The sequence below is a fragment of the Homo sapiens genome, chromosome 17 (genome assembly GCF_000001405.40).
Source record: "Homo sapiens chromosome 17, GRCh38.p14 Primary Assembly".
NCBI classification, from domain to species: Eukaryota; Metazoa; Chordata; class Mammalia; order Primates; family Hominidae; genus Homo; species Homo sapiens.
Window position 1 is genome coordinate 50,207,676 of NC_000017.11, and position 18,593 is coordinate 50,226,268.

Below are 18,593 nucleotides of genomic sequence, written 5' to 3' on the forward strand. Positions count from 1 at the left end.
CTGTGTCTGCCTGATGGAGTTTGTGTCTGGTAAAGACACAGACAGCAATGAAATCACATGAATAAACGTGGAGGTGCAACCATTAAGGTTACTAAGAAGAAGAATGCAGAGCTTTGAATGGGCAGACATGGCAGAGGGTCTGCTCTAGTCCTGGAGCCCTAGGAAGGCTTCCCTGGGTAGGCTGATGGGAAAAGGATAGGAGGCAGGGTGGATAGTGATGGGACCACATATGCAAAGGCAGGAGGGGGCATGGCGAGTGCTGGATGCCCAAGGAATTCAGGGAAGGCCAGTGTGGCTGGAGCACCACAGGCAAAGGCTGGGCGGGCCAGAGAAGCCCCATCACAGGTGTAGTTTGCCTCCTTTCAGCTATGGGCCCCAGCAGAGGGCCTGACGCAGGGGAGGGTCACAATCAGGTCTGCATTTGTAAAAGAAAGCCATGGGCACTCCATGGAGTAGGTACCTGCGGGAGGAGGGCTGTGGTCAAAGGTGGAGGAGCAGCTGAGAGGCTGCTATACTTGCCCAGGTGAGGGGCTTGGATCCGGTAGGTGGGAATGGAGACAGAGAGAAGAGGATGGGCTTGAGAGCCCTTTGGGAAGCAAAATTTACAGGTGCTGGGGTTGGATTGGATGTGGGGTGGGGTTGGTGAGGAACAGGGATGATCCCGGGCTTCTGGCTGGGCAAGGACCCTGCTTGGGGGACAATATGCTGAGTTTGGTGCCTGTTGCCGGCCCTGTAGTTGATCCTTTTCACTGAGTGGTTACTTCAGGCCTTCTGGGGCCAGCCGTGTGCTGGGGAGAGCTCTGGGGACAATAGCTCCTATTCTGGGAGAGTGGGGAGCCAGGAAGAGGAATAAAACACACACAAAAATGCCCCTCCCTTGAGGCAGCACTGGCTGTGTGATTTTGAGTAAATGCTCCATCTCGGAACTTCATTTCCCCAGTCTGTGAACTGGGGTAGTAGTGAGACCATCTTGCTGGTCTATGTCTTGCTCAGTAAATGGAAGCCTCTGGACACAAAGGATGATGGGAGTGCCAATGAGAGATAAGGAAGGCTGCACGGAGGAGGCAGCTTTCCAGCCAGGCTTGGGAGGGTGGGTGACAGGGTTCAAATGCAGTGTTTAAGTGGGAGGAAAGGCACCGCCCAGCCTGGGAAGCTTGACATAGATTGAGTGAGAGACAGACAGACAGAAAGAGAGATAAGGCCATAGGCAGAGGAAGATAAGGCTGGAAAAGTAGGCTGGGGCCAACTTCTGGAGGCCTGGGATTCTGGGGGAAGGAGTTATACTCAGTGGTGGCCATAGAGAGTTGGTGACTGCCTTTGAGAGGAGAATGGTTGTGATCCTTTTGCCGAGAACTCACCCAGAGGACTTATACCTTGGTGACAGCAGAAGGACTCAAGTTAGAAGGCCAGGGCCCTTAAAGGGAGGGGACGATTCGAGGAAAGTATAGGTGGGTTGGGAGGAATTCATGGATATGGAGATGAACAAACAAATGGGGCCGGGAGCAGGTAAAGAGGTAGACCAGATAACACCTCCAGAGTTGCGGTTTGACCTCTGCTGGATCTCGGAGCTTTAGAGTCTCTAGGTGGAAATATCACAGAATAAGAGACATTCTGCTAGAAGGAAATTTCGAGTTTATTCCTTTCTTCCCTCCTTTTACAGATTAGAAAACTGAGGCCCAGAGAAGGAAAGTAGCTGCCAGAGGTCACACAGCTAGGATTGAGGGATCAGAGGTAAGAACCCTATGACACTTCAAGAGCCCAGGCGGTTAGGGCTGGGGAGCTCGCAGGGCCAGGGAGGTCACTGAGGATGGCGGCGACAGCATGACACGGGGATCCCACATAATCCCAGTTGGTCCTGGGAGGACAGCCCAGGAGAGCTGCTCCCCAACTCTCAGCTGAGCCATGTGGCCAGAGGGGGAAGGGAGCCTGGTGGGCAGGGAGGAACTGCCACATGGAAAAGCCTTGATGGGAACCATCTGGCCTGGGCGGGCGGAATGTGGGCTGCAGGGAGGGGAGGAGCAGGAGACGGGAAGGAGGCCATGGTGGGCGGGTGGATGGCGGGTTTGGGCTGGGAGTGGCCTGACCCGGAGGCCCCTACCTTCCAGACTGCTGCAGCCCAGATGCCTTCGCAGCCATGGCCTGGCCCATCCAACCCGCTGACCTCATTCCCAGCTCCCCTCTCTTGCAAGCTCCCCCCTTGCCTGCCACGTAGACTGGAGGCTTAGCTGCATCTTCGCTGGAGGGAGGAAGAGCAGAACACAGAGGCCCTGAGCCCAGAGCTCTGCTGGGTCAGACTGGCCTGGGGAGAGCAGCTGTGTTCCTCCAGCGCCCCCCAAGACCAGGCTGGGCCTCAGTTTGCCCTCCTCAAACCTCCTCAAACCTGAGGCCCAGAAGGTGGAGGGGACAGAGGTCATGGGAGAAGCATGACAATGAAGTGGGTTGGAGTGGGCGAGAATCACGTGGGGGCTCTGAGGTCATTGTAGCCATCCCCCTGCCTCCTCAGGGCAGGAGGGTGCTAGGATCAGACCCAGAAAGGGACAGGGGCAGGACATTCCTCCTCTTTTCAAGCATTCACAAGAAGCAGAGTTCCATGGTGGTCTAGGAGGGGGTCCTTTGTAAGATCTAGTCTTCCTCCTTCTGCTGTGTGAGGACCACAGTATGTGGCTAGGACGAGGTGGGCGGTACGCTGTCTTCCGTCTCTCAGCTGCTCTCAGGGACCTTCGCTTCAATCCTGTCTCCAGGCTCTGCCTCTGACCCCTGCCTCCCCCTCGCTTTGCTTCCCTGCCCCCCAGGGTCCTGGGTCTCCAGCTGCCCCAGTTGAACAGGGGGCTGTCCCCTGCGGCTCTCAAGGCGTTCCGGGGCTGTGAGTCATCGGGAATGTCTGTTCTGACTGCGGCTTCCCTCTCCTGACGTGGACCCTCTTTCTCCTCCTCCCCCACACTCAGGGAGAGGGTGCCCCTCCCAGGCAGGGGGCTCTGAAGTGGGGGAGGAAGCCACAGGCAGGCCTGGGATGAGGTCTTGCTCCCCGATTGCCATCGGAAGGAGGCTTCGAAGACTTGCACGCCCCTCACCCAGATTCTACCTTCCCAAGGCAGATAGAATTCCCTGACTTTCTCCCATTTCCCAGGTGGGGACACTGAGGAGAGGCGGGGAGGGGAGGGCCTGAACTTGGGTGGGCCCAGGTTCACCCACTCCCTTTTAGGGCTCAGCTTTGTCAGACTGGGAATCTGCCCAAGTGTCCTTCTGAAGGGCCCTCCCCGCATTCGAGGCTGGATCTGGCAGAAAAGCTGGAGAGGCTCTGCTGCCCGCTCCAGGGATGACACGTCTCTGCTGGGTGGGGAGTCCACGTCCGCAGAAAAGGGGGAGGCCACGTGTCTGGACCCTTCCCGCAGAGCCCCTGTGCCCTGCAAGGCTGCCTGCCACCCCCCTCCTTCTCTCCCTCCTCTCCCCAGCAGCCCTGGCCTGCCCCCTCCCTCTGATCTCAAGAAATAGCTGGGGGGTCGGGGGAGGGGACACTGAAGGGAAGACCAAGCTAGGAAAAGCTCCTCTCCACCCCCTCCCAGCATGTCTGGGCATTTCACTCCCCACCAATGAGCCTCAGTTTCCTCAACTGGAAAATAAGGGGGATGAACAGAAAAAGTCTCTACCCATGGGTGAGTCTATGATCCTGTCTCTGCACAGTCAGATAGACTCAGGCACTCACACCCACTCAAACCCACCTGTGCTCTCAGGCACGTTCATTCATTCACACATTCACCGATGCACACTTACACACACATCTACACGCACATGTGGCCCTCTGCCTATTTTGGGTACAGCAGATCCCCACAATTTCTGTTTCCCTCTTTCTGACAGCCCACCATTTCTTCTCTCATTCCAATCATACCTCCCCCAGCCCCCACCCCACCCCCTTTAGCCACCCTCTTTACATTTCTCTACTCCTGGTTCTCCTCCTCTTGAGGTCACTGGCAGGGCAGTGAGATTTGAACTTCAGAGTATCAGACCTCTGACCTTGCCAAAGACCACTCTGACTCTGCCCTAAGGCTCTTTCTGAGTTTTGGGTGGGAGGGAGTCTGAGTGAGGAGAGAGAATAGAGCTGAGAAAGGCTGGTTCTTTCCTACCCAGCTGGGGACCTGCAAAAGGGTGCCCTTCACTTGTCTTTCCTGAACATTATGAACATTCGCTTTCCAACAAAGTCTGTCCCACTGACATCCGGAGGCCTCCTCTGAAGTGCGATCATTTTAGCAGCTTGTCCTGGCTGTTGCCCCAGGTTGCACCCTTCTAGGAACTTCCGCCTGAGGGAGACTGGTCAGAGCTCAGGAGGGACTGTTCCAGGGGATGAGATATCTGCTGGCCAGGAAAGGCATGGGAACTGGGCAGCGGAGCACACCCTCCGGACCTGGCCCAACTTCAGAATAACAACAAATGATTGTGCCAGGCTCTGCCGTAAGTACTTTACACCTTTGTACTCCTCCAAAAGCCCTCTGAGATGGGTGCTCCAATTGTCTCCAATTTCAAAGGAGGAAAGAGAGGCACAGAGAAGTCAAGTCAGTTGCCTGAAGTCACAAAGCTAGCAAGTGGCTGAGCTGGAATTCAAACCCAGGCAGCCTGGCTTATCTGTTACTCCCAGCTGGTCCAAGGGACCCGGGATGGTCCAAGGGATGCCCTCCCCCTTCATCTAAAGAAGTGGCTATTTGCATAAACAGGCTTCCATCTGTGTGCATGCATGGAAAGGATCACGGGATGACGTGGCTGGAAACAGACCACAGGCACCACCAGTAGTTGGAAAGATCAGAACAGAGCTGCCTCCCTCCCTTTTGCTGGAGAACTATTGTGAGCTGACCACCACACACACGACATCTCCTTTAATCCTCACAACAGCTCTGGGACGTCAGCCTTAATATCTCTATTTTATAGCTGTAGAGTCAGAAGGGCCGAGGCGTTGTGCAAGATCCCCTTTCTCAAGCTCAGAAAGAACCCAGGTGTCCTGACAGCCAGATCAGGCTTCTCTCATTGATCCACACGTCCCCTATTTCCAAATCTACATGGCTTCTAGACACACACAGCCACATACAACAGACCACGCAGAATGTTGGAAAGAATTACAGCTCTTGGCCGGGCGCGGTGGCTCACGCCTGTAATCCCTGCACTTTGGGAGGTCGAGGTGGGTGGATCACCTGAGGTCAGGAGTTCAAGACCAGCCTGACCAACATGATGAAACCCCGTCTCTACTAAAAATACAAAAAAATTAGCTGGGCGTGATGGCGGATACCTGTAATCCCAGCTACCCAGGAGGCTGCGGCAGAAGAATCGCTTGAAACCAGGAGGCAGAGGTTGCAGTGAGCTGAGATCGTACCACTGCACTCCAATCTGGGCAACAACAGCAAAACTCCATCTAAAAAAAAAAAAAAATTACAGCTCTCGGTAGTGTTTGAAGAAGCACTTTGCACCTCCTCATTGACAATGCCCCAGGAAGGGCTTATGCTCATTCTGTTGTGAGGGGAAGCCCCTTGCTGGGGCTTCCCCCCTGGCTGGGAAGTGGTAAAGCTGTGAATAGATCCCATGTCTGCCTGGCCTGGCCACAAAGCTAGTGCTCCTCCCACTCTCCAATACCACCTGCCACCCTCACTGTCACCAGCCCAGAAGCACCCCCTGCACACACCATATCCCCAGTGAGCACACATGCATGTCACAGACAGGAAAATCACACTCATGTAGTACCTGCACGACACAGGCTAAGGGCTTTTTGGTGTTTCCTGTGTGCCAGGCCCTGTTGTAAGTTCCGTGTAGGCATGAGCTAGATGCAAGGCCGCAACAATCCTAGGATGTAGGTTCCTTTCAATATTCTTATCCTCATTTTACAAATGAGGAAACTGAGGCTCAGAGAGGTTAAGTAATTTGCCCAAGGTCACACAGCTAGGAAGTTGCAGAGCTGAGATTTGAACGCAGGCTTTAACCACTGTGCTATGGCCCATTCTCTAATATTGATTGCATGCTACTCATTCAGTCAGTCATCAACTATTACTGACTGCTGTGTTGTGCCCAACTCTGCACAGGCCCCCGGGACGGCTCTTCCCTGCCCCCTCCTCCTGACCCAGCCTGGTGTGTACCACATGGTAGATGGGGGCTGTACCTGCTCTCACTCTCCTTCTTTTCCAGAGTTCCTCCTCCCCCACAAGCTGGCACATGTGGATATTGGCTCTGTTTTGCCTTTGACCCCTAGTGAAAGAAAATACTGAGGTAACGCCTGACTGGGGAGCATGGACACAGGGAGATGCAAATGGGGTGCCAGCTGGGGCCAGGGCAGGGGTGGGGGATAGGGTAGGGGGTGAGGGGAGGTCTGGGAGCAGGAATCTCTCTTCGCTTCTGCCTGCATTTTTATCATATACTAATATCTATTCTTTTTCCTTTTTTTTTTTTTTTAGACGGAGTCTCGCTCTGTCGCCCAGGTTGGAGTGAAGCGGCTAGATCTCAGCTCACTGCAACCTCTGCCTCCCAGGTTTAAGCAATTCTCCTGTCTCAGCCTCCAGAGTAGCTGGGACTACAGGCGCATGCCACCATGCCCTACTAATTTTTTGTATTTTTAGGAGAGACAGGCCTTCACCATGTTGGTCAAGCTGGTCTCGAACTCCTGACCTCAGGTGACCCACCGGCTTCAGCCTCCCAAAGTGCTGGGATTACAGGCATGAGCCACCGCGCCCAGCCTCATATCTATCTTTATCACTCCATTTCAGATCTTCTTCCATATATGGCTCTGTGTGTCTCCTGTCCTTCCCTGTCTCCTCACTGCTTTTCAGCTGGTAGACCCCTGTGGGGACAACAGATCAGAGCTTGGTCACCAATATGGACATCTAGGTCTGAGCAGGGCCCACTCCCCGGGGGCGCATCAGCTCCATCCCGGCACCCTTTACACTGGCCTTCTCTTCACAAAGGACCACAGGTCATCCTCAAGCCTTCCTCCCAGGCTATCCTTGTCCCTGAATACTAATGTCTAAAGGTCAGCCCAGCTACCAGCAGTGTGCATGTGATGTGTCCCATCTCCCCTTCGGATTGGAGGAAGAAGCTGTGTCCCTCCCATCAGACAGACGGTCTCCTTAAAGGTAGGCATTGCGTCCACTCGTTCAGACAGAGAGCTCTCTGAAGTCAGGGAGTGTGTCTCCCATACCAGATTGGGGTTCTTTGAGGGTATAACGTAGGTTTTCCCATCAGACTAGGAGCAGGCCTGTGTCACCTCCTTCCTCTAGATTCTCCTGGTCTCCAGCTTGGGCTCTGCTGGAAAGAAGAGGAAGTATTTAGCAAGGGTGAAGGTATGATGCCCTCCCCACCATCCGTCTCTCCCTCCAAACCTGTTCAAACTGGAACTTTAACATTCACCCCCAATCCAGTAAGCTCAACTTCCTTGAGTCCCTCTTCAGTCCTGTCCTCTCTTTCCCAGATGGGTTCTTACTTCCCTGAGGCAACCAGAGATAAGAAAAGACCAGAATATGAATATCCAGCATTCCACAAAGAATCCTACAGGCAGGGATATTGCCCAATCACCAGTGCCTCGCATCCCAGTTCTATCCAAGATCCAAGCTTGATATCCTCCTGAAAGACTTCCTGAATCAGGTCACCAACATGGACATCTGAACTTCCAGAATCAGGTCACCGTCTTTCTTCTCATCTCTGGATGTATTTGGAGCTCATTTGTCTGACGGTTTTTGAATGCTATCTTTTAAAAATAAACTTTTACAATTTGGGTTTAATAATTCTAGATTTATAGAAAAGTTGAAAAGAAAGTACAGAAAGTTCCCATATATCCCTTATCCAGTTCTCTTAATGTTAACCTCCTACATCATCATGGAACATTTGCCAAAATGAAGATGTCAACACTGGTGCTTTGCTGTGAACTAAACTCCAGACTTTATTCGGATTTCATGAATTTTTCTCCTAAGGTCCCTTTTCCGTTCCGGCATTCCACCCAGGATATCACATTGCATTTGGTGTTTGTGTCTCCTTGGTCTCCTCTGGTTCTTGAGAGTTTCTCAGTCTCTCCTTGTTTTTCGTGACTGAAGTTTCAAGGAGTACTGGTCAGGTATTCCATAGAATGTCCTACTGTTAGCTTTCAGCAGTAAAAGCCTTTCCACAAACAAAACCTTCTGCAGAGTCCTAATCTGTGAACAGACAAGAATGGAGTTGCCATGGTCACAGCAGTGATGAGAAATGATCCCCTGAATATGAATCTCCATGAAACCCCCCGAGAATTATAAGAAACCCCCAGGATACCATGGAACCAAGTTTGAAAACCATTAATTTAGGCCAAGCTCTGTTCAGTACTTGGTTTTGAGCTATAAAACCCTAGACAGGGAATTATAAACTAGATCTTAGATCTTACATACTTCTGGTGACAGGGCCACCACAGTTTTTTTGTTTTTTGTTTTGTTTTGTTTTTTGAGGCAGAGTCTAACTCTGTTGCCCAGGCTGGAGTGCAGTGGCACAATCTCAGCTCACTGCAAACTCCGCCTCCCAGGCTCAAGCGATTCTCCTGTCTCAGCCTCCTGAGTAGCTGGGATTAGAGGTGTGTGCCACCATACCCAGCTAATTTTTGTATTTTTAGTAGAGATGGGGTTTCACCATGTTGGCCAGGCTGATCTCGAACTCCTGACCTCAGGTGATCCACCCAAGTCGGCCTCCCAAAGTGCTGGGATTACAGGCGTGAGCCATGGCGCCTGGCTGCATTGGTCTACTCTTCAGATGACATCATGTTAATTGGACCAGAAAAGTGCCAAGGAGCCTTGGTAAGTGCATGCATTCCAGGGGATGGGAAGAAAAAAACTCCTACAAAGATTTAGTGTCTTACTAACATCAGTGAGATCTTTAGTGGTTTGGTAGTCAGAAGCATGACTAGACATCCCCTCCAAAGAAAAGGAGAAATTCTTGCCCAGCAGATAAGAAAGCTCATCTGGTAGGCCTCCTCAGACTCTGGAGAAAACATATTCTACCTTTGGGAATATGTTTTACAGGTGACATTAAAGGCTGTCAAATTTGAATGAGACACAGAGCAAGAAAGAGCTGTTCAACAGTTCCAGGTGTGGTGCAAATGGTCCTGCCACTTGGCCCTTAAGACCCACAGACCCTATGGCATTGGGGGTATTTGTGACATCAAGAAAAGCTGACACCACAATAGGAGAATTACAATGCAGACCTCTAGAGTTCTGGGGGGTTATTTACTAGTCAAAACCAGCTTATTGCATGCTACAGGACCCTGGTAGAAACAGAACACCTAACCAAGGGACATCAGGGGACCAGAGCCGCCCATCATGAGCTGAGTCCTGACAGATCCTACATCATCCCATGAATATCCTCCAGACTGAGCTGTCCAGGTTTCTGCTCATTACATGTCCTGGGTCTCTCTTGATGCCCCTTATGTGTCTATCAAGGTCCCTCCCACTTAACATGTCACTCAGCCAAGGATGCACTCTTCCAGCTCTAGGTGGCCAGAGACCAGGGTAACAGGACAATTCCCCCCACCCAACTACATTTCATGGTTCAGACGACAGACTTAATGGCTATAGAATTTTCCTAAAGTGTGGTTCATGGACCACTGGGGGGGTCCCTAAAGGTATACAAGTGGTCCATAGGAAACCTCTAAGGAAAAAAAGGATGGAATTGCTCTACTCATAAATCTGAAATGCAAAATTGATTAATTGATTAAGATTCTTGCAACAATCCCATCTTGTACATTTATCTATCTATCTATCTATCTATCTATTTATTTCAGAGACAAGTTCTCACTCTGTCCCTCAGGCTGGAGTGCAGTGGTGTGATCATAGCTCACTGCAGTCTTGAACTGGGCTCAAATTACCCTCCTGCCTCAACCTCCTGAGTAGCTGGGACTACAGGCGCACGCCACCATGTACAGCTAATCCTTAAATTTTTTTTAGAGATAAGCTCTCACATTGTTGCCCAGGCTGGTCTTGAACTCTTGGGCTCAAGTAATCCTCCTGCCTCAGCTTCCCAGAGCACTGAGATTCCAGGCGTGAGCCACTGCACCCAGCCCCATTTTGTTCTTAATAACTGTCACATTCTCCAACGTTGTGCATCCTCTAATTTGAATTTGGCTGATCCAGCTTGGGCAGATCATCTCCAGAGACATATTTTCATGTCACTTATGGGTTTTTGGTTATTATTTTTGTGATGTGTAATATCCTCAACCCAAATAATAAGCCAGTGATTCAAAAGTGGTTAATTAAAGCCTAAGAAGAGTGAGAAAAATAGTAACCCAAATACTACAACTGAGAATAGTGTTATAAAAGTAAATACGTAGTGTCCAAGCATATGGCTGGGCTAAAAAAAAAAAAAAGGAAGAAAGAAGAAAAGTAAATACATAGTGAACAAGCATCTAGTTCAAAAATATGTAAATCTCTGAGAACTGGGACACATCTGACAATTTCACACAAGTAGCTGAAAAAGTGTAAATAGTGAGTATGATGTTGAAGATCTGAACTTAACTTTACTGGACTGGTGATCTATTCCATTTTAATCCCCAGTGAGTTGTGTGTTATGAAACTTTGTCAAATAGTGGCATAAAGCCATCAAGATTTTCACATCATTTTCAAACACAGCACAGTGACCTTTCTGGTAAACCATCAGAGACTTTTCTTTTTTTTCCAGAACAAGAGCAAAATAAGCTTTCCAGGACAAAATTAATGGATTTTCCCCCAGTAAAGGCAGGAAGAAAAACAAAATGACAGAGGCAGCATTTAAAAGTGCACTCCTCTTAGTAAAACACAGCTACAAAGTAATACTATCTGAGAAGATTGTAACACAGCCGTGTTATTAATGATACACATTTCTCTCACAGAGAATGAAAAACCAACTTTTGGCAAATTTCCTTTATCAAATGACAGTGTTGGATATCACGTGGTGTCAATTGCAAATATTATGAGAAAATAGTTTGATTTTAATAAATCCGGCTATCTTATACTCCTCATTGAAAAATGTAAGTTTTTGCCCAGTGATAGTTTGTGTAATACCAAAATTTTAAAAAAGATAATGACATTTTATTCCTCTAAGGTGAGGTTTGAACTGTCAGTTATTACATATATTGTCATCTGAGCAAGCTGTTTAAGATCTTAGAACTGATCTTCAGTGGCCTAGTCAATGACTTAAGGAAATGGTTTCATTTCATCTTTTTCAAACATTCTTGTGGCCCCATGTGAAGCTGGCTAAAAATCAATGATGTGCTGCTGGGTCTGGTGACTCATGCCTGAAATTCCAGCATTTGGGAGGCCAAAGCGGGTAAATTGTTTGAGTCCAGGAGTTCAAGACCAGTCAGGGCAACATGGCAAAACCTTGTCTCACAAAAAGTACAAACAAAATCATCCAGACATGGTGGTGCATGCCTGTGGTTCCAGCTACTGGGGTGGGGTGGTGAGGAGCTGAGGTGGGAGGATCACTTGAGCCTGGGAGGCAGAGGCTGCAGTGAGCTGAGATCATGCCACTGCTCTCCAGTCTGGGCAACAGAGTGAGACTCTTTCTCAAACAAAACAAAACAAAACCAAAACCCCCCCCATTTCTCCACTCAAGGCCACTTCTGAGATCCTGAGTGACTTGCTCAAATGGCAATATATTCAATATCTGTATTGTCCAGACATCACCAATTACAATATTTACTGTTGAGGAGCAAGTTAGCAGAATTTCTTAAAACCAAACAGCAGTATGACTGCTCCATTTTTATTTTGATTCTTTTTCAGCACTTGGTGATTTTGTTTCTGAGCAGGAGAAAGGAATCGGTGACATATTATTAAGACTATTTAAAAACCACATCCAAACATTACTCAGAACTTAAAGAATTCTTTCCGGAGTCAAATTCAACCAAAGAAAGGATTATGACTCTGCTTGCTCCCCCCCACCGCCGCCCCCCTCTCCCTGGGTGAAATACTTAGTCTTCTGGCTTTTGAAAGCTTTGTACCTGTTGACCTAATGTCCGAGAGAGGGGAGAGCAGTCTTTAGGAAGAAAGAGGTCTGTGATTTCTGAATTCTTGTTTGGTCTGAATCCAGAACCATCTGTCAGAGCCACCAAACATTTGCTGCCATTTCTAATGACCTATAATTGTGGTTTAGGATTTTTCTAATTTGGTACGAATAAGGAATAAGAAAAGAAACTGACAGGATATGAAAACTCCTTATGGCTCCTACTGTCACACAGGGCGCAGACGTACTGGCGGAAATTTTCAGAAGGTATCATCACCCTCCCTGATATGTAACAATTATCCTTCATGTTACTTTTACACAGTTGCATTTCAAAAATGATTTTAGAAATACACTGTTGTTTTAAAACTTGTTTAAAGTGGGTGGTTGATGTATGAGCTCAATGCCCAGTAAGGGCTGCTGATGTTGAGTGTGAGAACACTCCCGTTGCTGCCGAGGCTGCATTCCATGGCAGATAAAGAAATCCCATAGGGAATCCAGGGAGGCCCCTAGGATCCTGTGAGCCCTGCTTGTCCAGCGCAGCCCTGCTGTGTTAGCTGAGCTGACCCTTGTCACAGCCTTCTGGTGGGTCACTAGCTCTTGCTCAAACAAAAGCAATGCTCTGCTCCATGTCCAACAGCTCTGTCCCAGCTGTTCTGCTCAAAGTCCAGTGAGGAAAATGCTAGTATCCCCATTTTATAGACGAGAACCCAGAAGCTCAGAGAGCTTCTCCCCAAAGCCACCCAGCTTGGAGGGGAGAGGCTAGGAGAGGACCCAGAAACTTTTTATGCTCCTTGCCCCAAAGACTCTTTCCCCCAGACTTGGATGTCTGCAAAAAGACCTAAAGGACAGTGTCCAGAATGCTCGGGTTTACTTAGGACTCAGGTCCAGACGCCTGCTTACATTGTCTCAATCTTTACAACGGTCTTCACAATGAGATACATGGGTCATTAGCTCTGCTTTACAGATGAGGAAACCGAGGTTCAGAGAGGTTAAGTCACTTGCCCTTGGTCGCATTGCAAATGAATGGCGACTTCTGCTTCAAACTGAGGTCTGGCAGCTAAGTGTGGGCTTTTAACTCTCCGCTGCAAAATGGCCATCAAATGGGGTTCTCCCTTAATATCTCTCCACCTGTGGATTCTCCCCGAGCGCCGTCTCCTTCCTCCTGCCTTGCAGTCTCTGCAAACTCCTGCCACAGCCTCCCAGCTCCTCTCCCTGCCCCTCCCTCCTAGGGCCCAAGTCTTTCTCCGAAAGGCAGCAGCCAGAGTGGTCTTGCCACCAGGTGCCTCATCCTTCCTCCCCGCTCTGCCTCCTGCGCCGTGGTCCCCTCCCACTGGGGAGGACCCGAGCTCCCCAGTCACCCCCAGGCCCTGCCGCTCAGGACTAGCTAACGTGCTCTCACTGCCTTCCGGCCTTCCAGCCACCTCCGTCCCCCAGCGCTCCCCTCCTGAGCCCCGAGGCCCCGGGCATCCTGCCCAGCGCAGACCCTGCCCTGCTCTGCTTGGAACAGGCCCCTCTCCACCTACCATCCCACCCCCCGCTCTCCCCTAGGCGTTTCTGGCTACACTTCTCTTCAAAAACTCCCTTGGGTCCCTGGCCGTCCCGCTCTGCTGCAGGGTCTCTCCCAGCGCCCCGCTCTGCCTGGCTGCCCACTCCCATCCCACCCTCCTGAGGATCCTCTCTGGGAGGACTGGGGTACAACTGTCAGGTTCATCCTGGCTCCTAGCACAGTGCCTGGCGCACAGAAGGAGCAGTGCAGTCGCGCTATGAGAGCTTGGCCTGCGGGCTCAGACTTCCAGTTCAAATCCCAGCCGCTCCTTCTCCCAGCGGTGTGACTGTGGACAAGTTACTTCCCTTTTCCGTGCCTGAGTTTCCTCATCTCTAAAATGGGGATCATAGATCTTGTTCATAAGATTGTGAGAACCTAAAGTAGGTAGAACAGTGCCTGGTGGAAGTAAGCATGTAGCATGTATTAGATCAATTATCATTCCTCAAGTAAAGTTGTTAGTTTACTTTCCTTTTCAGCCCACTTCCCTCTCCTGAGGGCCTCATGAGCCTCTGAAAGTCTGGCTCCACCCCTCCCCGCTCACTCGAGGGAGGTTTCAAAACCCAAGGGGTGGATTCTGTCTTCCACCACATCCCCCATACCAGAGAAGCTGTGCCATCTCCTAGCTCTAGCTCAGAAATTCTAAAACTCAAGAGAGTTCTGGAAAGAGCTGTGGACTTGGAGAGAAAAGCCCTATCTCCTGGTCCTGGTTCTGCCCGCCACATAGCTGTGTGACTTTGGACAGGTTGCTTTACGTCTCTGAGCCTTAATTTTTACTCTTGTGAAATGGGAATAATCCCAGCCTCACCTCCCCCATAGGGTTGTCCCAGTGCTTGATTGCATAATCTGGAGACAGGGTATTTTGTCAACCAAGGCAGGGTGAAGAAATGCAGGGCCTAGTAACCACAGGGTTGGAAGGGAAGACCAGGGCCAAGCCTGCAGGTGTCTCTGGTCAGGGATGTGCCAAGGGTGTGGCCACTGGGCTCCGGGCTGGGTAGCAAACTGTTAGGTGGCGCCGATTGGGAATAAGCCTGGGCCCAAGCTTTGTCCAAAGTCACTCAAAGACTTCTGCTTGGTCACTGTCTCCCTGCCACCCGCTCTTGCCACTTCTTCAAAAGCACCTTCAAGTGCTTCTCAGGCCCGCAGAACGCCCACTGGATCCTGATGCCCAGAGGCCCTGCCAAGTCTGACTGCCAGCCACAGCTCTCCCCACCCCTTTCCCACTCTCAACTCCAGCCCAGCTGAATTAGGAATTTCCTAATATTAGTCATGATTTTTTCAGTTGCAAGTGCCAACAGCCTAATTCAAAGTGGCTTAAACAGAAAATTAAAGCTATTTGGCTTATTTAACCAAAAAGGTAGGTACAATTGGATCTATCGGCTAAAATAAGATCAAGAAGACTCAGTTTCTCTACCTCTTCTTTTGCTTTTCTCTGAAATAGCTTTTCTTCTTGGACAGCTTGGCTCTGTGCGGTGGTCTCACCCAGCTGCCTCAGGCTTATTTTCTAAAAGCTAAGCAACCCCAGGAGAAAAACAGAAACTCTTTCACAATAGTTTCAAGAGGGAAAAAAAAAAATCCCAAGATTTGCCAGGCACGGTGGCTCATGCCTGTAATCCCAGCACTTTGGGAGGCTAAGGTGGGCAGATCACCTTACGTCAGGAGTTCGAAATCAGCCTGGCCAACATGGCGAAACCCTGTCTCTACTAAATATATAAAAATTAGCCGGGGGTGGTGGCAGGTGCCTGTAATCCCAGCTACTCGGGAGGCTAAGGCAGGAGAATTGCTTGAACCCAGGACATGGATGTTGCAGTGAGCCGAGACTGCACCACTGCATTCCAGCCTGGGTGACAGAGAGTCTGTCAAAAAAAAAAAAAAAAAAAATCTCAAGATTTGCCCGTATTGGATGGACTTAAGTCATGTGCCCGTCTCTAAACCAGTGACCATGGCTGGCGGATGAAATATGCTGGTTGACTTGGGCATGTGCCTACACCAGCAAGGCATTGACCAAGAGTGGGGGAAGGGCAGTTCCCCAAAATAAAATCTGGATGCTGTTTCTGGAAGAAGGAGAAACAAATGCTAAGGCAGGTAGAAACACTCAATGTCCAAAACATTCCCCCTTGGCTGCTAGCATATATACACACACGTACTTTTCCCATACACATAATTTTTATAAGCTTTTTGTTACCATTTTTTTCTTTTTATTTGGAAATAATTTCAAGTTTATAGAAAGGTTCCAAGAATAGTGCGAAGCAGTTTTGTTTCCTGAAGCATTTGATGGTAAATTGCCGACACGATATTCCATCACCCATGAATATTCTTATGTGTAAATCCTACAATAATGTTCACCTAAACAACCACAATGCAACCATAAAAATATAAACACTTTACTACAATTTATTTATGTTGTGCCATTTGTCCCAAATATCCTTTGTCACAAAAAGACCCAATCCAGTATCATACAGTGCATTTATCTTCAGTCTTTCCTTGCTGTTCATGACCTTGTAAATTTTGAGGATCACAGGTCATGATTTTGTAGAGTGTCTCTTGGTTTGGGTTTGTCTGATGTTTCCTAATGATTAGATTCAAGTTATGAACTTGAGGTAGGAATATCACAGAAGTGATGCCATGTTCTTCTCACTGCATCTTATCGGGTGGTGCATGATTTCAATTTGCCCCATTACTGATGATGTTAACTTCGATTGCTTGATTAAGGTGGCATCTACAAGGTCTATCCACTGTAAAGTTACTCTTTTCCCATTGTTTTCTGTGGGGAGGATCTCAAACTATATCAAGTCCCATTCCTTATCCAATCTGTACCCATTAGTTTAATTTAATTTTTTTTTTAAGACAGAGTCTCACTCTGTTGCCCAGGCTGAAGTGCAGTGGCATGATCTTGGCTCACTACAATCTCCACCTCCGGGGTCCAAGCGGTTCTCCTGCCTCAGCCTCCCAAGTAAAGTAGCTGAGATTACAGGCACATGCCACCACGCCCAGCTAATTTTTGTATTTTTAGTAGAGATGAGGTTTCACCATGTTGGCCAGGCTGGTCTCAAACTCCTGACTTCAAGTGATCTGCCCACCTTGGCCTCCTAAAGTGCTGGGATTACAGGCATGAGCCACCACACCCAGCCTGCACCCATTAATCTTAGAATCCATTGAGGGCTTTTGCCTGAAATATTTTTTTAAATTATATTTGTTGCTGTCTTAGTTTGAACTGCTGCAACAAAGTACCACAGACTGGGTGGGCTTATAAATAATAGACATTTACTTCTCATTGTTCTGGAGGTCATGGCGCCAGCACAGTCAGGTTCTGGTGAAGGCCTTTTTCCAGGTTGCAGATGGCTAACTTCTTGTTGCATCTTCACATAGCAGAAAGAGAGCTTGAGAGCTATCTGGGGTCTCTTTCATAAGGCACTAATCCCATTAATGAGAGCTCCACCCTCATGACCTAATGTATTAGTCCATTTTCTCACTGTTAATAAAGACATATGCAAGACTGGGTAATTTATAAAGAAGAAGAGTTTTAATGGACTCACAGTTTCACATGGCTGGGGAGGCCTCACAGTCACAGAGGAAGGTGAAGGAGGTGCAAGGCACGTCTTACATGGCAGCAGGCAAGTCAGCATATGCAGGGGAACTTTACCTTTATAAAACCACCAGATCTCATGAGATATGTTCACTATCATGAGAATAGCATGGGGAAAAACCTGCCCCCATGATTCAGTTACTTCCTACTGGGTCCCTCCCACAACACGTGGGGATTATGAGAACTACACTTCAAGATGAGATTTGGGTGGGGATACAGCCAAACCATATCATTCTGCCCCCGCCCCCTCCCAAATATCATGTCCTCACATTTCAAAACACAATCATGCCTTTCCAACAGTCCCCCAAAGTCTTAACTCATTTCAGCATTAACCCAAAAGTCCAAGTCCAAAGTCTCATCTGAGACAAGGCAAGTCCCTTCCGCCTATGAGCCTGTAAAATCAGAAGCAAGTTAGTTGCTTCCTAGATACAATGGAGATGCAGGCATTGGGTAAATACACCCATTCCAAAGGGGAGAAATTGGCCAAAACAAAGGGGATACAGGCCCCATCCAAGTCTGAAATATAATAGGGCAATCATTAAACCTTAAAGTTACAAAATTATCTCCTTTGACTCCATGTCTAACATCCAGCGCTTGCTGATGCAAGGGGTGGGCTCCCATGGCCTTGGGCCACTCCACCCCTGTAGCTTTGCAGGGTACAGCTACCCTTCCATCTGCCTTCATGGGCTGGCATTGAGTGCCTGCAGCTTTTCCAGGTGCATGGCGCAAGCTGTCAGTGGATCTACCATTCTGGGGTCTGGAGGTTGGTGGCCCTCTTCTCACAGCTCCACTAGGCAGTGTCCCAGTGGTGACTCTGGGTGTGGTCTCCAACCCCACATTTTCCTTCTGCACTGCCCTAGCAGAGGTTCTCCATGAGGACTTTGCCTCTGCAGCAAACTTTTGCCTGGACATCCAGGCATTTCCATACATCCTCTGAAATCTAGGCAGAGATTCCAAAACATCAATTCTCGACTTCTGTGCACCTGCAGGAAAAACACCATGTGGAAGCTGCCAAAGCTTGGGGCTTGCACCCTCTGAAGCCACAGCTATACCTTGGTCCCTTTTAGGCACAGCTGGAGCAGCTGAGACACAGGGCACCAAGTCCCTAGGCCGCACACAGCAGGACATCCTGGGCCCAACAAAACCATTTTTTCCTCCTCAGCCTCCAGGCCTGTGATGGGAGAGGCTGCCACAAAAGTCTCTGACATGCCCTGGAAACATTTTCCCCATTGTCTTGGTGATTAACATTCAGCTCCTTCTTACTTATGCAAATTTCTGGAGGAGGCTCGAATTTCCCCCAGAAAATGGGTTTTTATTTTCCATTGCTTCATCAGGCTGCAAACTTTCCAAACTTGTAAGCTCTGCTTCCTCTTCAATGGTTTGCCATTTAGTAATTTCTTCCACCAGATTCCCTAAATCATCTCTCTCAAGTTCAAAGTTCCACAGATCTCTAGGGTAGGGGCAAAATGCTGCCAGTCTCTTTGCTAAAACATAACAAGAGTTGGCCAG

The 18,593-nt window shown here is 49.1% G+C and overlaps 1 long non-coding RNA gene across 1 annotated transcript, besides 4 other annotated features; it reads left to right on the forward strand.

Annotated features, from left to right (window-relative positions):
* Positions 2,159-2,724: an enhancer, noted in NCBI's record as "H3K27ac-H3K4me1 hESC enhancer chr17:48287195-48287760 (GRCh37/hg19 assembly coordinates)". NCBI's record gives its function as "activates a minimal SCP1, AML or CMV promoter by ChIP-STARR-seq in primed H9 embryonic stem cells {active_cell/tissue: H9 hESC(primed)}" and the evidence as "EXISTENCE:reporter gene assay evidence [ECO:0000049][PMID:30033119]".
* TILAM (TGF-beta induced lncRNA activating myofibroblasts) lies at positions 7,019-7,745 on the forward strand. Its single transcript, NR_110806.1, has 3 exons — positions 7,019-7,100; positions 7,245-7,307; positions 7,436-7,745. It is a non-coding gene; the product is annotated as a TGF-beta induced lncRNA activating myofibroblasts (long non-coding RNA).
* Positions 11,053-11,347: an enhancer, noted in NCBI's record as "tiled region #1443; HepG2 Activating DNase unmatched - State 8:EnhW". NCBI's record gives its function as "activates a minimal TATA promoter and a strong SV40 promoter by Sharpr-MPRA in HepG2 cells {active_cell/tissue: HepG2}" and the evidence as "EXISTENCE:reporter gene assay evidence [ECO:0000049][PMID:27701403]".
* Positions 11,053-11,347: a silencer, noted in NCBI's record as "tiled region #1443; K562 Repressive DNase unmatched - State 8:EnhW". NCBI's record gives its function as "represses a minimal TATA promoter and a strong SV40 promoter by Sharpr-MPRA in K562 cells {active_cell/tissue: K562}" and the evidence as "EXISTENCE:reporter gene assay evidence [ECO:0000049][PMID:27701403]".
* Positions 11,349-11,398: an enhancer, noted in NCBI's record as "active region_12380". NCBI's record gives its function as "activates an Ori minimal core promoter by ATAC-STARR-seq in GM12878 lymphoblastoid cells {active_cell/tissue: GM12878}" and the evidence as "EXISTENCE:reporter gene assay evidence [ECO:0000049][PMID:35858748]".